The 21,621-nt window shown below is 38.0% G+C and overlaps 1 protein-coding gene across 28 annotated transcripts in view; it reads right to left on the minus strand.

The window, feature by feature from the left end:
- Positions 1 to 21,621, minus strand: part of STXBP6 (syntaxin binding protein 6) — a 240,694-nt gene that overhangs the window by 24,138 nt on the left and 194,935 nt on the right. The window lies entirely within an intron of this gene.

Genomic DNA, 21,621 nt, shown 5'->3' on the forward strand with positions numbered 1-21,621 from the left:
CCTAAATCCTTATTTTCATTGGCATTCATCTTGGGTTGTGCTATTGTAATCAGCATACAGAAAGGATCAACTTCTGGACATGGCAAATAAAATTGCAGTTATGCAGCATTTTTTTTAATTTGGGAGGATTTAAAACAAATTCTATCAAAGATATAATTATGTACAAAATATATCAAGTTGCAGATATTTGATTAATATGGAAAAAATTGTTTTCAATAAAAACACCACTATTTCCAAAATTGTTATTATGGTCTAGTGTGAAAAAGATGACATACAAAATGAGTAAAAAAACCAAAACAGATTTTGGTTCTTCCTGTGTTTATTCCATTTAGAATATAGAGGAAGGCACGATTTTCACACCTCCTCTGTTTAAATACCACTTTGAAAAATGATCCATAATTGAAAACTCATTTTTTTTTTCTTGAGACAGGATCTTGCTCGTTGCCCAGGCTGGAGTGCAGTGGCACGATCATGGCTCACTGCAGCCTTGACCTACTGGGCTCAAGTGATCCTTCCATCTCAGCCTCTGAGTAGCTGGGATTGCAGATGTGCACCACCATAACCGGCTAATTTTTTAATTTTCTGTAGAGACGAGGTCTTGCTATGTTGCCCAGGCTAGTCTTAAACTCCTGGGCTCAAGCAATCCTGCCATCTCACACTCCCAAAGTGCTGGATTATAGGTGTAAGCCATTGCACCCAGCCTAAGAGAATAAACTTTTAGTATATTCTGTCTCTGGCCAACTTACAGGTTCAAATTTTAACAGAATCACACCTAAAAGATAAATATTTCTGCCAATTTAAAAATATTTAGTGTTCCACTCATTGGGTTTTCAATTATAAATGGCATTATTTGTAGGAAAGATCCTTAGATATTGAGGAATGAAATCCTTGTTGTGGGAATGATCCTTAGGTATTGAGGAATAAATAGTCCTCACACTTTTAAGGTATGTGACTCTTAAACACCATACAATTCAGAAGCTAATGCTCCTGGGAACTTACAAAGTGGAGAGGCCACACAGTGCTGAAGAAACAATGATGATTTGGTTGGGGTGGGAATAATGAGAGGAATTAAGGTACTAGTGATTAGACCATTGTAAATATTCTTGAAAAGATGAGGATGGCCCGAACTACGAGAGTCAAGATGGGAATGGAAAAGAAGAGTTTTAAGAGACACTGAGGGAGACCTGTGGGGGAGAAGGGCTTGGTAGAGATGACTTGTTTGCAGACTATGTATTATGGATTTCTAAAGGGGGAAAGGCAGAGTCTGATGATAAGATCAGATTCAAGTTATCTGATTTGAGACTGGGAATTTCAAAAAGTGCTTCTCAAGAGTTTTCTTCCATGATACACATGAAGGGTTTGGCAGAACTAGTGCTAGGTGTTCACAAAGTTGTGTCTTGTTTTTCCTCCTGAATACATAGAAGGTATATATATTTAAGACCTCCTTACAGTTAGATTGGTCATATGGCCAGTGGGCTCTAAGCAGAGGCAATAAGTGCTACTTCTGGGCTGAGGTAATAGAAGACCCTGGGCGGCCTTCCAACTTTCTTCTTCCGTGTTTAATTTGAATCTGGAAGGCATGTGTCAAGATGGTGAAATGACAAAGATGCAAGCAAACTGGATCCCTGAATCACCACTTAGAAGCTGCTCTAGAGCGGCACTAAACTCACAGATCTTCTTCGAGTGAGAAGTAATGTTTTATTTGTTAAGCCACTGAGACCCGGAGCCGTGTTTGTTATTGCACCATAATTGAGTGTTTTTTGACCAGTAAAAGAGGTGATATTCTTAATTTCAACACATTCTGAGGAGAGTACCCAGATTTAGAAGACACTTTTGAAAATGTTTATTTAACAAAAACAAATCAAGTCAATGACATTGTTTTTGTATATGAGGGTGAGAGGGGTGGAATTTCATACATGTATCCTAGAAGTATGTAATGAATAAAATTAGCCACTTAAAGATTTTTAGAATATTGTTTAAAAAGCAAAAATAAACATAGATCATCTAATTTTTTAAAATGGAATATTATTTTTTAAGAAGTTCTTTCTTCCTCACCTCTGTAAGAACAAAAAAGTAGGTGCTATTAAAAAATAGGTAGTATCAAGTCTAATTTTGTGGTTTGGAATAAACAAAGTAGACTGTACAGATTAAAATATTAATATAAATATCCTATTTTCTGCTTTGGACTTGTAACCATAGCTACGCTTAATAACGATATCCATAGTGCCATTTTCCTTTTCTCTTACCTAAAAGAGGTGTCCATCTTTGTGGATGGAGACACCCATTTTCTACTTCCCTTCATATTAAAAATGTATCTATGGGTAAACCAAAAGAACAAGAAGTCATTAAGGTAAATGTTGTAGGAAACAAGCATTACTGCACACTGTAGTCACCATGACTATTAGGGGGACCAGAAATAGCTGCAGGGAGAAGCAGGGCAGTAGCTCTCACTTCACTCTTTTCACTGCTGCTCAAGACAGCCAGTGGCAACACTAGTTAATGAGCAATAGCCTTCAGGGTGTGTATGAAATCATACTCACACTTTGGTACTTTACTGATTTTTTAATAAGATGATTGGCAACATGCCTTTAATACTGGTAATACTTGATTCAGTACAGAAAGAGACTTTGTAAGTGTAAAATATTTTATTTTGGACTCAAGACCTAGTCAAACTACTAAAGATAAATAGCGTTTGAAAATTTACAACTCAGAAGTGAAAATCAGACTGTGCGTGATGGCTCACAACTGTAATCCCAGCACTTTGGGAGGTCGAGGCGAGCGGACCACCTGAGGTTAGCAGCTCGAGACCAGTCTGGCCAACATGGTGAAAACCCCATCTCTACTAAATATACAAAAATTAGCCGGGTGTGGTGGCGGGTGCCTGTAATCCCAGCTACTTGGGAGGCTGAGTCAGGAAGAATTGCTTGAACCCAGGGGGCAGAGGTTTCAGTGAGCTGACATCACACCACTGCACTCTAGCTTGCCAGCTTAGGTGACACAGCAAGACTCCCTCTCAAAAAAAAAAAAAAAAAAAAAAAGAAGTGAAAATCAATAACCAGTCAAAAGGGTAGCTATTAACAGACTAAATTTTCCCTATGTTAGTCCTTGTAATAGGAAGAAAGTAGGATAGCAGGATGGATAAAAATCAACAAAAGAAAAAGAAAAATGAATGGAAAAAGAGATTTTTCTTAATTCTTTAAATCTTCAGTAAAAATCCTGCTTCAAGTAAGATTTTTCATGACTCTAATTAAGCACTTTTACGGCAGGATAGATCTATAATTAAAGCCTTACCTTATATGCCTTACTAACTTGCAGCTGCAAGCTAAATGTTTTAACATATCATCAAATTGGCATTAGTTCGACAAAATGTAGTAATCATTTCCTTTTGTGGACTAAAAGACATCAAGAACATGAATATTTTAATTCATATGTTAGGTGATACAGACATAATTATTAGAGGTTACAGAGTATATATGGCATTGCAATTTTTTCTATTCCTTTTTTAAGTAATTGAATGCTTTGCTCAAATAGTTTGAATAAATGTAACTTGACACAAATGATCTAAAACAAGGGGTAGAAACAGCAGGGAGGATGAAAGAAAATAGGACAAATTCCTAAGTTCTGTGGAACATAGGAAAATTTGTATTTTTAAAGATGAAAAGTGGTGTAAGAACTATGCAAACTTAAAGGCCAACCAGACAACTATTTTCATCAAAGTATTTAAATTATTACTCTTGTTAAGAAGCTAGTAGCATCATCTTTCTTTACTTAAGTTCGGGGGTAGAATCATATCCATTATTTGAAATCTGAAATTGCTACCTAACTATATTCTCAAATTGCATAATCACAAGTTAAGCTCTTTCTGTGGACACATTTGTGTATATGCTTTAGTCAAAAGCAGGAAAAAAAATAGCCAGCAAAATGTTGCTCTGTGGTTTTGGGAGTGATGGGCAGGAGGAACTGTGTTAGCAGGTTGGAACTCTCAGGTCCCAGGACTTTGGGGCTGAGTACACATAGAACACCTAACATCCCAGTCAAGTTAGAGCTCTGCTACAGGAACTTGTGCTCATTTCGGCAAAGGCTAGGACAGAATTAATCTCTGCAAAATTAAAAATTAAGAGTCAATCAATAAATAGGGCATATAATACTACTATTAATTAAAAGGGTCTAAGATACAGCTCTAACACGACAAGCTGTATGAACATCTCTCAGACTTTCCCATCCTAAGAGATGTCTGCCAGACTGAGTCATCTCCAGGGAGGGTAAGTGTCAGAGATGCCCTGGTGAGCTGTGGATGGCTGGAAATAACAACTGGAAAGGAAGAACAACAGCTAACAATCTCCTGGAGTTTGGCTGCCAAAAAGAATCTTTCCTTCTTATTAAATTCTGATCAAAGATCTAGATTCAGTTTCCCAACTGAGAGCTTCACTGTTTTTTCTAATTTTAATTTTTATTTTTTGAGAAAGAGTTTCACTCAGTTGCTTAGGCTGGAGTGCAGTACACGATCTCAGTGCATAGCAATGATCCTCCCACCTCAGCCTCCCAAGTAGCTGGGATTATAGGTGCATGCCACTACTCCTGGCTAATTTTTGTACTTTTTGTAGAGATGAGGTTTTGCCACATTGCCCAGGTTGGTCTGGAATTCCTGGGCTCAAGCAATCTACCCAACTCGGCCTCCCAAAATGCTGGGATTATTGGTGTGTGTCACTATGCCCAGCAAGCTTCACTGGTTTTTAAATAAGCATCAACATATCTGCTGTGGTCTGTAACTGTGGAATTGGAGGAAATGTGGACATTCAAAAAAAATGGCCAGGCTGGGCGTGGTGGCTCATGCCTGTAATCCGAGCACTTTGGGAGGCCAAGGCCAGTGGATCATGAGGTCAGGAGTTCGAGACCAGCCTGGCCAATACGGTGAAACCCCATCTCTACTAAAAATACAAAAATTAGCCAGGCGTGGTGGCTCGCACCTGTAGTCCCAGCTATTCGGGAGGCTGAGGCAGAAGGATCGCTTGAACTCGGGAGATGGAGGTTGCAGTGAGCCGAGATCGCACCACTGCACTCCAGCCTGGGTGACAGATCGAGATCCCGTCTCAAAAAAAAAAGAGAAAAAAGAAAAAATGGCCAGTAACTTAAGGGCCCTTTCATGTCTTATTAAGCACCTAGAGGCTAATAATTCCTTTTAGAAATGTTCTGAGGGAGAGTGAGCAAGATTGAGCATAAACAGCTACATTCATAGACAACTCAACTGCCCTTCCTTATTTAATTCCTGCTACTTCTTATCGATTTGAAAATTTCTAAGAGATTTAAATTGTGATGCTTTCTATAGGCTGAGATTAAAAAGTCAACCAGGCTAAAGAATATGAAACAATAATAAAAAAAACCTAAACCATTAAAAAAGGTAAAAGAGAGCCCAGATCATAAAAAGTCCAACAGGCCATAAAATGAAGGCTGGAAACATTACAAAATCTCCCTTCTCAACTGGGAGCCTGGCCAAGCAACTACACGGGAGTTGAGTTCTGTGATTGTGAGTGAAAGTTGCATTGTCTGTCCCCGCCTGCCCTCCTTCTGTTCTGATCTCTAATTTTAGACATATCTGTGTTGACAGCATCCCTTAACAAAAAGATCAGCAGCAAGCTGTTCAAGTCCTAATCTGACATTTCCCACACGGAGAGAAAGGAATGGAATTCCTTTCTCTTTTGTGGATCTTTGCTCTGGGGTTGTAACTAGTAAGTTATCACAACTGGTTGGTACCAGCACATCACCAATTCATACAACACATGCTGTTCATTTACCTTAAAAAAGGACTAACCATAAGCAAAAGAGAATTTGGTTCATGATCTATAGATACATTATCCCATAGTCTCCTAATCAAAATTTAGAATATACAATTGAGCAACAGGACATTATACCCTACGTCTTGAAAAAAAATTTAGTCAAATTTGATTCTGTGTTTGAATAATCACATCTCTGAGGTGACTGTCCCTAAAAACCCAAAAAGTATGGTAATCTTGTATATTGTGTGACTTGTCATTCTTGAAAAAGAAAAGTACTAATAGCTAATATGTACTGTATTTACTCAGCGCCGGGCACTGTTCAAAGTTCAAAGTGCTCTGTGACAACTCATTTAATCCTCAAAACAACTTTGGGAGATAGGTACTATTATTATCCCTTCTTTACAAATGAGAAAACTGAGGGTCAGCTAAATAATTTGGCTGAAATCATAATGGTAGGCAATAAAAGATGTAGGATTTGAATTAGAATTCTTGCTACTGAATCTGTGTTCTTAACCACCGCTTTCTAGAGAGAAAGAGGACAAAGAAGGCAAGTCAGTTCTCAGCCCTGAGAATTCCACCTGGCTGATCTTTGTCATCAGTAAATATTTACTGACTCCTTATCATGTGATATGTTTTAGGTATATTACAGCTAGTGTTTTAGGCATGCCTAGTGTTTCAGGTATATTATGTTATTTAATCCTCCCCACAGTACTGTATGGGAGAACTACTACTCTATTTTACAAAAAACAAAAACCATGGCTTAGACAGGTTATAAATTGCCCAAGGATATACTTATGGTGAGTGATGGAACCACCTCTGCTGGTTCCTTTGGGATTATCATTGATTTGAAAATAAGGTGAACAGCTATTGGCAGGAGATTCATGGTACTGAGGAGGGAAGAGGACTACTTTCCAGGCTAGCTGGCATTCTCCTTATGATGCAGGGCTGTGTATGTGACAGAGGCCTCTTGAGCCTTTACTTTTCCTCAACAAGATGCGACCACAGGATTGCTTGGAATTCAGATTCTTTCCTCCACTTTAGCCCATCAACAGATTGATTCCTGACAACATGGCTTTGACAGTGTGATTCTTTGTTTAGCCTTCTTGCCTTGCTTGTCCCAGCACTGTGCCAATTTGGGCCCATTACTCCCAGAGCTTTCCTGGCTTCTGCTCCATTGTTCTAAAGAAGGGATTACTGACACACACTTTGGATCATTTCATTCTGAGGGCTTTAGGCTTTATCTGAGACTGCAGGTATGAGAGTTCTCTCTTGGGAATCTACCTTCACCTTTACTGCATTTGTCAACTCTTCCCCACATACAGGAGTTTGTAATTCGAGACAGACACTCATTTCATCAGAGATAGAGTTTGCCCTCATAAATTCTCTGAGCTGATTTTGGATAATTTTCAAGAAAAGAGGTGACTATCCTTTATATTCTATCATTTTAAAACTAGAAGTCTAACAAATGTAACTGCTTTTTTTTTTTTCCTGTCAAATTAATTCAGTAGCTATCCTTCTTGGAATGAACTTTAGCATGGATTAACTATCCATTGAACATACAGCATGTATTCCTTATTACTTTTGTTTAGAATTTTATCTCCAGTTATTTCAAGAAAACATTCCAAGTAATTTTAAAATAATCATTAAGACAATTAAGTTTGGCAGTGTATTTTTACCATGTTTGCAATCGTTACAGTTTCTTACACTCCACTCCTACCCTTTGGGTTCAGTGTGCTTCATGTTGAAGCACATCATTTAATACTTCTATCAGCAAGGGTCTAGAGGTGGTGAATAATCAGTCTTTGCTTTTCTGAATATATCTTTGTATTTCTCTTACATCTATATTACAGTCTAGCTGGATACAGAATTCTAGATTGACAGTTATTTCTGGAACTTTGAAGATATTAATGTATTGACTTTTGGCATCTCTTGTTGCTGGGAACAAGCCATCAGTTTATCCTTCCACAGTAGGAAAACTGTATTTTTAATAGCTTTTAATATTTTCCCTTTGTCCCAAGTGTTCTATTGCATTATGTTTTTCTCTAGGTAAAGCTTTATTTTCAAGTGTGGCACTTGGTGATATTCTCAATCTGAGTCTTCAATTCAGCAAGTTTTAGCCATCATCTTTTCAAATACTGGTTTTCTGCCATTCTTAAACCTTCTTTAAAAATTCCTATGAGATGAATGGTAGAGCATCTTGTTCTATCTTCCATGTACAACTCATCCTTTATATTCTTCATTGCTGTGTACTGTATTATGGGTGAATTTCTCATTAATACCTTATAGTTCATTAATTCTGTCTTTGACCCTGGCCAGTCTAGAGTTTATTCTATCAAATGAGTCTATTTCAGAGACTACATTTTTCATTTCCAGGATTATTTTTTTCTATCACTTTGTCTTTTCATTTTAGTTCCTGTGTTATAACATCTTAACGTTTTTTCTAATTTCTTCCTTTATCTTTTGAGTATCATAAATGTACTTAAAGTCATTATTGGAGTTCATTGTTACTTTCATTTCATTTGGGGTGAATTCAATTCTCATTTGTTATTTTTGTTGGCTTTCTCATGTAGAATTTTGGTGTGCACAATATTCTTCAGTGGGAGATTTAAATTTCTTCCTGCTTCTCCTCATTGCCTTGACCTTTTCTTTCTATGTAACAGTTTTATTATTTCCTGTGCTGGTCCCTGGTACAACAGGATTTAAAGTAATGGTCTGAGGCTCTTGTTCTGGGTAACATGTGGGATATGGCAGAGTCAGTCCCAGGCTAGTGGCCAGTTGGATCCAGGTCTTGGGTGGGAGACTATGTTTGTTTTCTCTTGCCTCTCTGGAACACAGGTTCTTATAAGCCACTTCCCTAAGGAGCAATTGGTCACAGCGTATTTGTAAACTCCTTTCTTGGGCTAAGAAGACTTGGTACCAAGCAGCAAATCTAGCTCCTATATCCACACTTTGCATGGGTGCACTTGTAGTCCCTATAGTAGCATGGAATTCAAACTTCTTCCTTCCAGACCTGGAATCCAGCAGACAACAGCTTTAATCCTAATAATTGCTTTGTGATTCTGTTATGTTTCTGGTTTATGGATATACTTATGTTTTCTTTTTCCTGAAAATGGCTATTTCTTTTTAATTTCCTCTATTCATGGTACTGTGATACCATGTGATAGAGCTAAAGGAGCCTCAAAATACAAATTTACAATGCCAAACTGCTCCAATATTCAATTTCCCAAACATTCATTTTTATCAACACAAGAATCCAAAAATTCTACATTGCCCAGCAAAGGTAATACTTACTTTTCTCTTTTTTTTTTAACCAGCAAACAAAGGAAAAGATGATTATGCCTTACTGACAGACTTTCTTATTTACTCACTACCTGAAATTAGATAGCCCCAAATGATAAATTTTAATTTACTTTTTTTAACAGGAAAAAAAAGGGTTGAGAAGAAGTAACAATTTAGTGGCTGTATCTGTTATCTGCATTACAGCTTAAAACTTCTGCAGTTTTACTTAATCTTAATCAGAGAGAAATCCAGCTATTTGTGCATGCATTTATTCAGCTTTTAATGGATAGAGCTGGGAAGTATAATAGGCCCAAAAGAGGGGAGTCACAATTTTGGAATTATTTTGTTAATGACCACTGAAGAAAGAATTTTTCTATTTTCTCTCTCTAATGGGGCAGGGGGAAAGAACAGATTCTGGAGATAGACTTGGGATCAAATCTTCACTGACCTTTATTATGGATATGATTTCAGGGTAGATAAATAACCTCTCTGAGGCTCAGTTTCTTCGCCTGTAAAGCAGGAATAACGATAACTACTTTTTGTAGTTAAATGTAAACTAAAAAATTGCCTGGTATATAGTAGGGATTTAGTATGGTGACTATCAGTGTTATTAGCATTCACAGGCTTTTTTCCTGGAAGGCAAGAAAAATATAAATACAAATACATATAAATACAGACGACTGTACTTCTACTGTATCTGACCTAAGGGACACTCAAAGCCATGTTTCTCTACTTCCATTAACTCCTGTGTCCAGGGAGAAATCAGGTTCTATACAAATTTCCCTTAACAGGAGGGAAGGCAGGACAACAGGAAGACAGGATTAAAAGAAGACATTAATTATAAGCTCCCACTGAGTGCTCACGATGTTCCGTGGTACTCCCTATGCACCATGCTATATGTTTTATATATGATCTTGTTAAATCCTTACAACTTACTACAGGGCAAGCATTAGTATTCTGTTTAAAAAGAGGAAGTGAAGCTTACAGTTTAAGTAATTCATCCACAGACCAATAACAGACCTGCTCTGTCCAGTAAGTGACAGACCAGAAATTCAAACCCAGATCTGTGTATTGAAAGCCTTTATCTTTTTAATGACATCATACCACATCCTACCAGGAAGACAAGATTTATAAACAACATGTGACACAGTAAGAATATATATTTGGTCTCTGCCCTCAGTTCCTGGCACAGAGCTCCTAAAACCCTTGGAATTCCCTGCATGACAGGAATGAGAGTAGTATCTTTTGTTATTTGTAATAAGCCCCCTTCAATAATACCTGAGTTTATGAGGTGACTTTTGGAGGTTAGGGGACTGGCTGCTAAACCAGTCATGAGATTAGAGGGTTTTAACTTTCGGCCCCACCCCCTCATCCTGACCTCCAGGGAGGGGAGAGAGGCTGGAGATACAGTCAATCACCAATGGCTTAATGACTTAATCAATCATAATTAGGTAATGAAACCCCAGTAGAAGCCCCTAAATGATGGGATCTAGAGAGCTTTCAGGCTGGTGAACACACCCATGGGCAGGGAGGGTAGCGCACCTCAACTCCATGGGGACAGAAGCCGCTATGCTCCGGACTCTTCTGGACCTTGCCCTATGTATCTCTTCATCTGGCTGTTCATTTACATTCTTTATAATATCCTTTATAATACACCTGTACATGTAAGTAAAGGATTTCCCTGAGTTCTGTGAGCTGGTATAGCACATTATCAAACCCGAGGAAGAGATCATGGGAACCTCCAATTTGTAGCCAAGTCGGACAGACGTACGGGTAACCTGAGGACCCACTACTTGTGACTGGCATCTGAAGTGGGGAGTAGTCCTGTGGGACTGAGCCCTTAACCAGCAGGGTCTGCACTAATTATGGGTAGTTAGTGCCAGAACTGGATTAAATTGTAGGGCACCCAATTGATGCTCCAGAGAATTGGAGAGTTACTTGGTGTGGAAAACCCACATAGCTGGTGTCAGAAGTGTTCTGTGAGTAGAAACAGATCCTAAAAACAATAATTCAACGGTATAGTGAAGGGATTACATACCCTAAGTGATACAGAAAATTGTTAAATTAACATGGAAACTGCATTTCAGGTGCTCATGTTGAATCACTTTTAAATGTATATTGAATTAAAGAGGTAAATCCAGCCAGTGAATGTGAACTTGTCTGTAATGATTATATATTAAATAAACTTGACCTTGACATCTTTTATTAAAGCTGAAAAGGGAATTGTTAATCTCTCAAGAGGTACACCACCAAGTTATTTACAAGTGGGGCATTATGATGATTTTAGGAGGAGACAGGGAAGAGACATATCAAGGAAAAGAATGATTTTTAACAAAATCAACTGATTTTCAATATCTCCATCATCAAAAGCTTTTTTTTTTTTTTGAGGTGGAGTCTCACTCTGTCGCCCAGGCTGGAATGCAGTGGCGTGATCTCAGCTCACTGCAACCTCCGCCTCTTGGGTTCAAGCGATTCTCCTGCCTCAGCCTCCCGAGTAGCTGCGACTACAGGCATGTGCCACCAGGCCTGGCTAATTTTTTTGTACTTTTAATAGAGATGGGGTTTCACCGTGTTAGCCAGGATGGTCTCGATCTCCTGACCTCGTGATCTGCCCACCTTGGCCTCCCAAAGTGCTGGGATTACAGGCATGAGCCACCGCGCCTGGCCATCAAAAGCTTCAACTATCAAGTACCCTAAGAAATGTGTAAAAAACCCATGTAATTATTAAGGAAAACAAATCCCTTAAGTAAAGAGAAAGAGCCAAGGTAGAAGTATACCAGCTGCTAAAGTAAGGAACTTTTTGATATTACAGAACATGGCAAGCCCCTTTAGTCACTTAAGTACTGGGTCTTCATAAAAAGTCTAGGTGCTTCTAAATTTAAATGTCTGAAATTAGAACAGATTAGCAGAAGTAATATAGTCTATAGGACATATATAAAAGTATATCTTATAAAAAATTAAATGTAGGACAATATTACACAATAGAGTATATTACAGCTTTCAGAATTGTTTAAGAAAATGGTGTGGTAGGAAGAATAATGGCTTCCCAAACTTGTCCACACTCTAGTCCCCAGAAGCTGTGCATGGTAAGAGGGACTTTGCAGATATGATAAGTATCTCCAGAGGGGAAGATTATGCTGAGTTACCTGGGTGGACACAATATAAACACAAAGGAAGGCAGGGGTGTCAGAGACAGAGAAAGAGATTTGAGGATGCTGGGGGCTTTGAACATTTAGGAGGGGACCATGAACCAAGGAACATAATCAGCTTCTAGAAGGTGGAAAAGGCAAGGAAACAAATTCTTCCCTGGGGCCTCCAGAAGGACACAGCCCTACTCACTGATTTTAGGTTTCTGGAGTCCAGAACTGAAAGACAATGTATCTTAGAGTTCTTTGCAATGTAAGCTTTTCCCTCTTCCTCCGTGAATGAGAGCCTTTGTTTTGCTGGGTGCCCCCAAGAGTCTATGGCAGGCTCCTTTTATTATTAACAATAAACTAACTCCTGAAAACCAAGCCAAAGACATTCTGACTCAAGACTGAACTATCTTTCCCGCAAAATTAACCAGGAATTTGATGTTCAGTTATAAAAGTTCTTTAGTGAAATTCTAGTATTTCCTACTACCTATAATTTGCATTTTACAGCATTATTCTATGTAGAATAGCCACAATATAACACTAATTTTCTAAGTTCTCTGAATATCCCTTTAGCAGCCTGTCTCATATTTTTCTTTCTGTTTGTATCTTTGAATGACTAACACGTTATGCCTTTGAGATCTCCATCTCAAATTCTCCCAAAGCCCTTATAATCGTTTGGCCACCATAAGGTTTATTTGTCTACATACCATAAACGTTCTTTGTTTTCCATATTTGTTTTGGCTGGCTACAAACTGGGAGAGTGGATGTCCATAAAGGTTGCCAGATAAAAATGACATCCAGCAAAATTTGAATTCCAGCTGAATAATGGATAATTTTTTAGTATAAATATGCTGCAAGTAACATGTCCTGCATTTTTATTGGTGAAATCTGGTAACTCTAATGCTCTAACTTCTTGCAATGAACCTAGTCCTGGGTAGGTACACTGCAGGTAGAAGGATAAGTAAGGAATGTTTGCTCCTACAAATTTGAAGTTTTCAACTTTAGATTTTTAAATCAATGTCCAATTTTCAAAGAACTACCTATGCTAAATCTTATTATTCAACCTTACTTTAATGATCAGAAACATGGTTAAAATTTTTAGAAGTTTATCATATAATGTGAACAAAAAAGACCATTTTATTTACCCCTTCACTAAAGGTTTTAGAAATCTCATATTCCTGTATAGTTTCTCATATACTATGCTCAAATTTCTAACCTCTATTCCAGGTATGGAATAGGACTATAGCCTTCAACCTTGAAGATTATATTCTCATCTGCTCTCCAAAGAGTGTGTATTCTGAATGGCTTCCCCAGAAGTGGGGGTGAATTTGACAAATTACTAAATGACAAAGAAAAGAGCACAGACTGGATTCACTTATCCTTCTCTTTGATGGCATCACTCATTAGCTGTGTTATTGTTCTTGAGAATTTACAGCTTCTCTTCACTAAAATTCCATGTACTTTTTAGTTCTTGATGCTTCTATGTTACAGCAGAACAACAGCTTTTAAATGCCAGTGGATGGTAGAGTTTTTACTGCCTACGTGAAATAAGCACAATGAAGTAAGCTTTTCATAAAGGTAAATGTTTCTAACTTAAGAACAGCCCCTTTAGTCTCAGAGATTACATCCTTTTATCTTTTATTGTTAATGTTAAACTTTCTTTTATGAAATTATGATGACAGTAGATGTAAAGATTTTAGAAAACATCCTTCCTTCGAAAATGGTTGGCAAATTTATGTCTCCCAAAATTTTAAAAAACTTTCATATGTCTGTAAATTTAAATGTATGAGCATAATGCAGAATGCCTTTTATGTCTGTTTCAGAACTACCACTTCATGTCTAACAATGTTAAGTAATTTTACCTCTGACTCATATTATCTCTAGTTTTGGAAGTAGAAAGAGGTGGACTCAAGGAATTGTTCTAGGCTGAGGACATGTTGGTGGAAAAGGAATATTTCCATTCTCTTGTAAAGTTTAGAAAACATGTTTTAGGTTTTTTTCTTTCCCACTGGAAGATCTGAATTATGTGCCCTGATCTCTGGCACAGTGTTACTTGATATATTTTAAACATTGTTGTTTTGGTTAAGTCAGCAGTAACATGTGCACTCTATAAATGTCAAACATAAAATGCAACACAATCAGCATTCTATAAAGCATAGCAAACAACTCAGCATCCCAGACATTTGAAATATCTATAGTATAGCTCAGCTCATTCTCACTTGGAACAAAGAAATTCTTTTCCCCCCAATTCTTATGGCTAACACAGATTAGGAAAGCTCAAGAATATTCCCTTGCTTCTTTCAGAAGAAAAGGCTTTTGATAAATATGCTGGGAGAAATCATGAAATATTATGAATATGCATATTTGTAGTGTTTAAAAACATAGAATATTTAGGCATGTACTGGCATTTTTCAAAAATCCCATTTGATTTAACCCTTTATAATTTACTTTAATCCTCATGTCATCCCTTCAAGGCATATGTTGTATCCATGACACAGAAAAGCATAGAGATGCTGAGTATAACTTAAGCAGCTCAGATGAAGTTACACAGCTAATGAGTGATGCTGTCAAAGAGAAGGGTAAGTGAATCCAGTCTGTGCTCTTTTCTTCTAGATCAAGCTGTATATTTATGTCTTCTGGTTGATTCTGAAAATAGGAACGGCTCTTATCTACTGCAGGTTATTTAACCATGGCATAGACAAAACATGTTTACAATCCTTGTCCAGACAAAAATGGTATTTTGGAAGTACCTTTACGTAAGTCTTGGTTTGGTACAAAATTTTGATGAAGAGATATGACTCAAAAGCATTTTAATGCACAAAGCCACTCCCAGCTCAGGATGACTAACTATAACCCACCAGCTGTTTCACAGCATGCATTTCAGCGTAGCTTACAGCCAATGAGCAGTGAAAAAAAAATTGCATCTGTGACCCATTTTTCCTTAGTTTCTAGTCATTTATATCACACACAGAATTGGATGGAACCTAAGGAAGTAGTCCTTAGTTACTTCTAATTTTTTCACTTAAAATACAAGTATCTACCTCTCTGGGAACAACATGAGGTTGAATGGCTGAATGAGGAAATATGAGAAAACACACACGTACAAAACATGATGACTAGTAATGTCATCCTCAACTTAAAAAATACATGAAAGATTCCTATCCAAAAACATCTCACAGTTTCTGCTGAATGTCATGTCCCTAATAGTGCTCAGCCAATATCAGATGGTTACTTTGATGGGTCACATAGGACTATAAAAACATTTGTGTTTGATGCAGTGGGTACACTGCTGGGGTCCCAATAACAAAAACACAAAACTTCCAAACTGGGCTTTTCTGATTCTATGCTTTAAATATTTGTACTGTTGTTTGTATTGATGCTTTTATTTTGCTTTTAGTCTTAGTTTTTTTCTCTCTCTGAAAGAACTTTCATTTAAGACAAGTCTTAAATGAAATATCATGCTGTCTAGGAAAAGATATATTGGCTGCAATGAGGAGGATGGAGTGATGGAAGAGTGGCTAAGTCTGTGTGTGTACATGATTAATATAATTATGTAACATAATTTACGGAGAACTTTCAAACATAATTTTCAACTGAATTCACACAAAGATCTTGTTAAATTGGTGTCATCCCCCCTTTTGCTTAGCTGAATGGATATAAGGAAAAGAAGACTTGTGCTTATTAAGGGAACGTGGAAGTCACGGTCTCCATTTAATAGATGAGGACTAAGTAGCAGGTCTTGACTGAAACATCAGCTGTATCTCTTAATGGCTGTGGGATCTTGGGCTAGTTCCTCATGAATCATTTTCCTCATCTGTACTTGGTGGAGGAAACTGAAGTTTATTATTTTCCCAAGGGCAACAAAAATAGTCACTGGAGGAACTATGCCATGGATTCCTGTTGATTTAAAGAACTATAAGAAACATTTCACTGCAGTGTCACAACAGTGAATCAGCTAAGAAGCCTGGCCTCCTCTGCTGTTCTGTGTCTACATTCAGGCATCAAGAAGCAACCATATGGTGGTGTTAATACAACTTATCTCTGTGAATTATAATCTCTAATATGTGTGCGTGCATCTCCCAAGGATATTGAAGTTTGATCCCTAGGGGAAAAATTATACATGACTTTATTCTTGAGAAATAAACAATTCATTCTAATGCACCCCTGGTTGCAGCATGTGTAGGAGTGTGAGGTTCACACTCCAAAGTCTTTATTCATTGACAGAGTTAAAACAGAAGGAAAAATAACATAAAAATCATGGCAAATGTTATAGATTCCTTTAAAGTACTATATTAATATATTGGGATTAAGAATGACCACACCAATCACTTTTTTTTTCCATGCCTGGGACACGCACAAGGTGAAATAGTTGCACACCTCACCTAGGGATGACTTTGTATTGTTTGGAAGAAAAGAACAAACAAAGTCACAGTTTGATTGAATCCTGAGATTCTATCCTATCCTGGGGGAATCCAGAGTAAAGCCATTGGGTTTCCTTTAGCATACCAATCAGCAGGGGCAAGTGAGGGCCAGCCTGGTGTGAAGGTGACATCAGAGACATCTGTGTCCCTAGAATTCTAATAGAGCTCTGAAGTCTGGGCTTTATACTATCATCTGAAGGGCTGTGCATAGAAGCGTAATGCTTAAGAAATACCCTTTGATGATGATGAAAATATATGGCACTTCAAAATAGCCTGCTTTGTGAAAAAACAATCTGCCACATTCAAATTCTGAATACAGCTAACATTGAAATAAAATTGTCTGGATTAACTGTTGCAATAAGAGAGAGCTAATTTCATCTTGCCCTTGTCTGTCTGGCAACTGCTAACCATCCTTTAACCTCCAGCTCAGCCATCCCCTTACTGTCATGGCAATGTTTCACGTCTATTTACATCTGATATGTCCAGAAAGTAAGTCAAGCTGGTGAAGGTGCCTACTGTGTGACTGGATCTCCACAGCTAGTTTAGCACATTTACATAGCGCTGAGTAAATGATTGTGGGATCACTGAAGGATGACATACAACAGGTGAAATAGTTAAGAGAGAACTGAATGAGTTAGCTAGGGTATTCGGGCTCAGAGTTCAAGTAAAAGGCTTGGATATGCTTCAGTTTATGCTTATCTTGAAGAATAAATTATTTTTTCTTGCAAATAATTTATACCTCTTAATGAAAAAGAAAATGGGTTTGCAAAGAACCTACTTTGTGGTTCTAATATAGAAATTGCCAGTATCACCAAAGATTTCTACAGTTCACAGTATTAGGCATATGAATACTAGGCCAACAGTAATCATTATAAATTGGTCAACACAAATGAAATAGCAATGTGGGAGCCATGTGGGATTTGCTCACGTTTAAAGAATACTGATGTAAGTAAAGTAACAAAGTCTTCCTTGGGACCTTGACCTAATATGGCATACCCGTTAATCTATACTGACAATCTATTTGAGGCAGACCACGTCTCTTTTTTTTTTTTTATACTTTAAGTTTTAGGGTACATGTGCACAACGTGCAGGTTAGTTACACATGTATACATGTGCCATGTTGGTGTGCTGCACCCAGTAACTCATCATTTAGCATTAGGTATATCTCCTAATGCTATCCCTCCCCCCTCCCCCAACCCCACAACAGGCCCCGGTGTGTGATGTTCCCCTTCCTATGTCCATGTGTTCTCACTGTTCAATTCCCACCTATGAGTGAGAACATGCGGTGTTTGGTTTTTTGTCCTTGCAACAGAACCATCATTCTCAACATCTGTTTGAAATGAATTAGCTGAAAGCAAGTCCCTCCTGTGGAGTCTAATAACACGTTATTAACTCCTTTGAGGCACCTTTGAAGTACAAATGTGTCATCACACGTATAACAGTATAACATCATTTCTGTTTACAATAAACACAGAGAAAATAAAAGCCACCATTTCAGAAGAAGTAAATCCAAACCATATGAACTAAAGACTGTACTTTCAGGGACCCCTGTCACTCATGTGGTCATGTCACATTTCAGCAGCCAGACCTGGCTCCCCACCTCTGCCTTCAATCTCTGTAGGTTGTTGCATAGTCCCTGGCCTTGACAAAGTCATTCAAAATTGCTGGGCCTCAGTTTTCCCAATGACAGGGTTGGTCCAGATACAGCTGTGAAAATAAATACAATTTAAAAGCTGTTGGAACCCCCAAAAACACTTTAAGCCTTGAGAGAGATATGGCTGTGATCTGAGTCATGCAGCATGTTTTGCAATTCTACTTCTTAGATTATAGCTTAACTCTCTTCCTCATTGTTTTGTTCTGTAAGTGACTAGGAGACCAGAGACCAGACCTCTACCTTCCAATCACAAATCTTTGTTAGAGATTAACTGCCTTCTTTATTGTCCTGACCTATCTCCTGACCTAACTCAGACTAGATGGTGCTCTGAACAGGGACCCCATGACAGTTACATCTGCAGTAACTGCAATGGAATGTTAAATGTACCTTTCTCAAAAGAGGAGGACCATCTGAACTAATCAGGTCATTGTGACTATGTATTAAGCCTTACATAGAAAGATGCTGAAATTCTGCTAAAATTCCCCAGGCTTTGTCTACATAAGCAATCTCACACGTCTACGCTTTGTAACACTGACTTCCATTGTTAGGAATCTGTGCTTCTTGGGTGGGCTTGTCCTCAACCTTTGCACTTAAAGTCTCTTTAATCTAGATTCTGACCCTTTTCATTATTTTAGGTTGGCATAGAGTACCTGAGAGGCCCTGTAGGCGGCTAGGGCTGCACTGTCTTCCCAGTGCTTTCATCTATTTCCTCTATTGAAGTTCTGGTGGACAAACACAAAAAACAAAAAGCAAGATGATTTTAAAGGTGCTTGATGACTCGATTGTTCTTAGGATGAAAAAAATAGCTTAAGAATTATCTTAAATATTTTCCTGGGACAAAACTAGGAAAAAAGTTAAAACTATCCATAAAGGCGGGTTTTCTCCCACCTCCCTTTTTAATACCCAGGAATGTAGTGGCTAAAATATTCCCAGCAATTCATATACAACTCCAGGGGGCACCATTCATAACAAAGACAATGTCAATGGTGTTTCCTGGAGCATGCCACTCAGTGGCTTTAAGGAGCCAATAAGTGGGCCTGCCCTGGCATCTTATCTTTACGACTTACTAGTTATATGACCCTTGGCAAGCTATTTGATCTCTCTGATTCTGTTTCCTTCTCTATAAAATGGAGTTGATAAAGCATATTTCCAAAGTCTGCTATAAAAATTAAATTAGATAACATATGTATAGAATCTGGTGTTGGGCAGCATACTAACACCAGTATTAGTTCTTTAAAATCATAAAACTATCCTATTGCATGGTATAAGAAACAATGGTATCTAGGACTTGTGGCCCATACTATAGGAAGAGACCAAAAGATACTGTGAAACTGGCAACAGATTTCATATCCTAAAGATGTGGAAGATACCCAAAAGTTAAAGAGGTCAGAATGTAGTGGCCCCAGAAGCACCTAATTTTGAAGTCTCAGAAGTGTGATAGCTGGCAGAAAAGAAGACTAATCGGCATACTAATTTATCAGGGTGTGTTGGCACAACTATTATTAAGCATAAGCAACTGTTTAAGACATGCTGCATTCACTAAGGTTATATGTGCTGCCAACAAATTACTACATGCTTAATTTAAACCTTTTTGTGCCTTCCTTAGTAATCCAGGACTTGTCAATATTTAATTGCGCTAAATCTTTGATTCTTTAGATAAGAAGCAATTAACCTACACAATAAAACTATAATTTAGGAATTACAGACTTTCAAAGTGATGGAACTGAAAGAGATTTTATATAGCATCTAGTCTAACCTCTACATGTGACACCTGGGAAAACTGAAGTCTAGAGCAGCTGAGAGACACACCTACAGTTACACAGGGCAAAGGCAATTCTGGCATTTGGTTTTATTAACTTATTCTAATTTTTTCTTACTACAGGAAACCAATATTCGGCTTGCCTAAATACACATACCAACAATTTAACACTGGACATATGTGTTCCCATCTCAACTCTGCATAATTTGGGGTTCACAAGGCAATGAAAGAAAGCTGAAGGGCTGGCTCAATGATGGACAGAAGCAGTGTGGTGGGGCTGTGTGGGAAGGTCTGAGGATATTCAGGAAGGCAAAGGAAGAACAAATTAGAGATCTATCAGTCTGGGATTTGAGTAGTGGCAATTAGGGTCTATTAAGGAACCAAATATAGAATTATTCTCTATGTCCAATACGTAGCACAGTGACTAGCATGTAGTAGGTTCTTAGTTCTCATTTATTGTATGATTGGATAATGAACTGTAATTGAATGAAGGAAAGAAAAAGCCTGTTCCTAGAGAAGAAATGAGACCTTTAGGGGAAACAGAGCAGGGGGACTGCCTAGTGCAGTCTGTTAAGGGAGGAAGAGGAAGAGTCAGCAAAGCTATCCCTAACCTTAGAATGAAGGAGGTAGCTCGTTTCCCTTGGAAGGACAGTGAGTGTGTGGCCCTTTTGCTTCCATCCACATTTCCATTCTGAGGAAGTGCAGTAGTTTCTATGGCACTTGGTCTGTTTCTGGCCACACTGCCCAGGACGGAACATGAAGAAGTGCAATGCTTGAGGGGAGTCTTTCTCCAAGAGCAACAGAAATTTCAAATCCATAATGTCACATTATTTTGAGAAGAGACTCTGTGCTTACATGCTAGCCATGCAAGCTACTGACCATATGGACATGGATGAGAAAAATGCTTCATAGCAGGAATTGAAGATTAAGAAACAAATGTGATTCTAGGCTATCAGAGCAAACTCCACCTAATGAAGAATGAGGGAAACCTGGGATTTCCTGGCCAACTTTCCATTCACTGAAAATGTGGCCCTCTGTGGTCCTAAGCCTGGTGTGCTTCAACCTTCTGCCAAGTCCGTTAAGGCTGGACTTTCAAAGCAGGAGTCATTTTAAGAGCACTGGTGGCGCAGACATGATACAGAGCTATATCTTATTATATTTTCCAAATAGGTCAGTGTTTGAAATTCCCTTTCCTTTAAACATCTATGTCTAATATTTTTCACTTTTGTACCATAGGATGTGACCCCTTGAAAAAATATACACCATTCATCACCTCTTGTATTTTCCTGGGATTAAACAGAGAAACTATAATAAAATAAGCTGCATAAATACCTAAGAAAGACCTTCCAAGGTTCTTATGATGTAAGCAACTTCCTACTTAAAAGGAATGCCAATACCTCAGTGGCTAATACCAAAGAATTGGATAATAACTTCTCTATACAACTTCTAGTAACTAATGGCAAAATGACAGTATGTGTGTCAGTTGCTAGGACAGAGTAATGGATTCTGCTGTATGTTCATATGAAACATATATACAGCCCAAGGAGAAGATGTGATGTATTTAACGTGATCTTCATTTAACATCTGATTAAGGCAAAGC

Source organism: Homo sapiens, chromosome 14 (assembly GCF_000001405.40).
Source record: "Homo sapiens chromosome 14, GRCh38.p14 Primary Assembly".
NCBI lineage: Eukaryota > Metazoa > Chordata > Mammalia > Primates > Hominidae > Homo > Homo sapiens.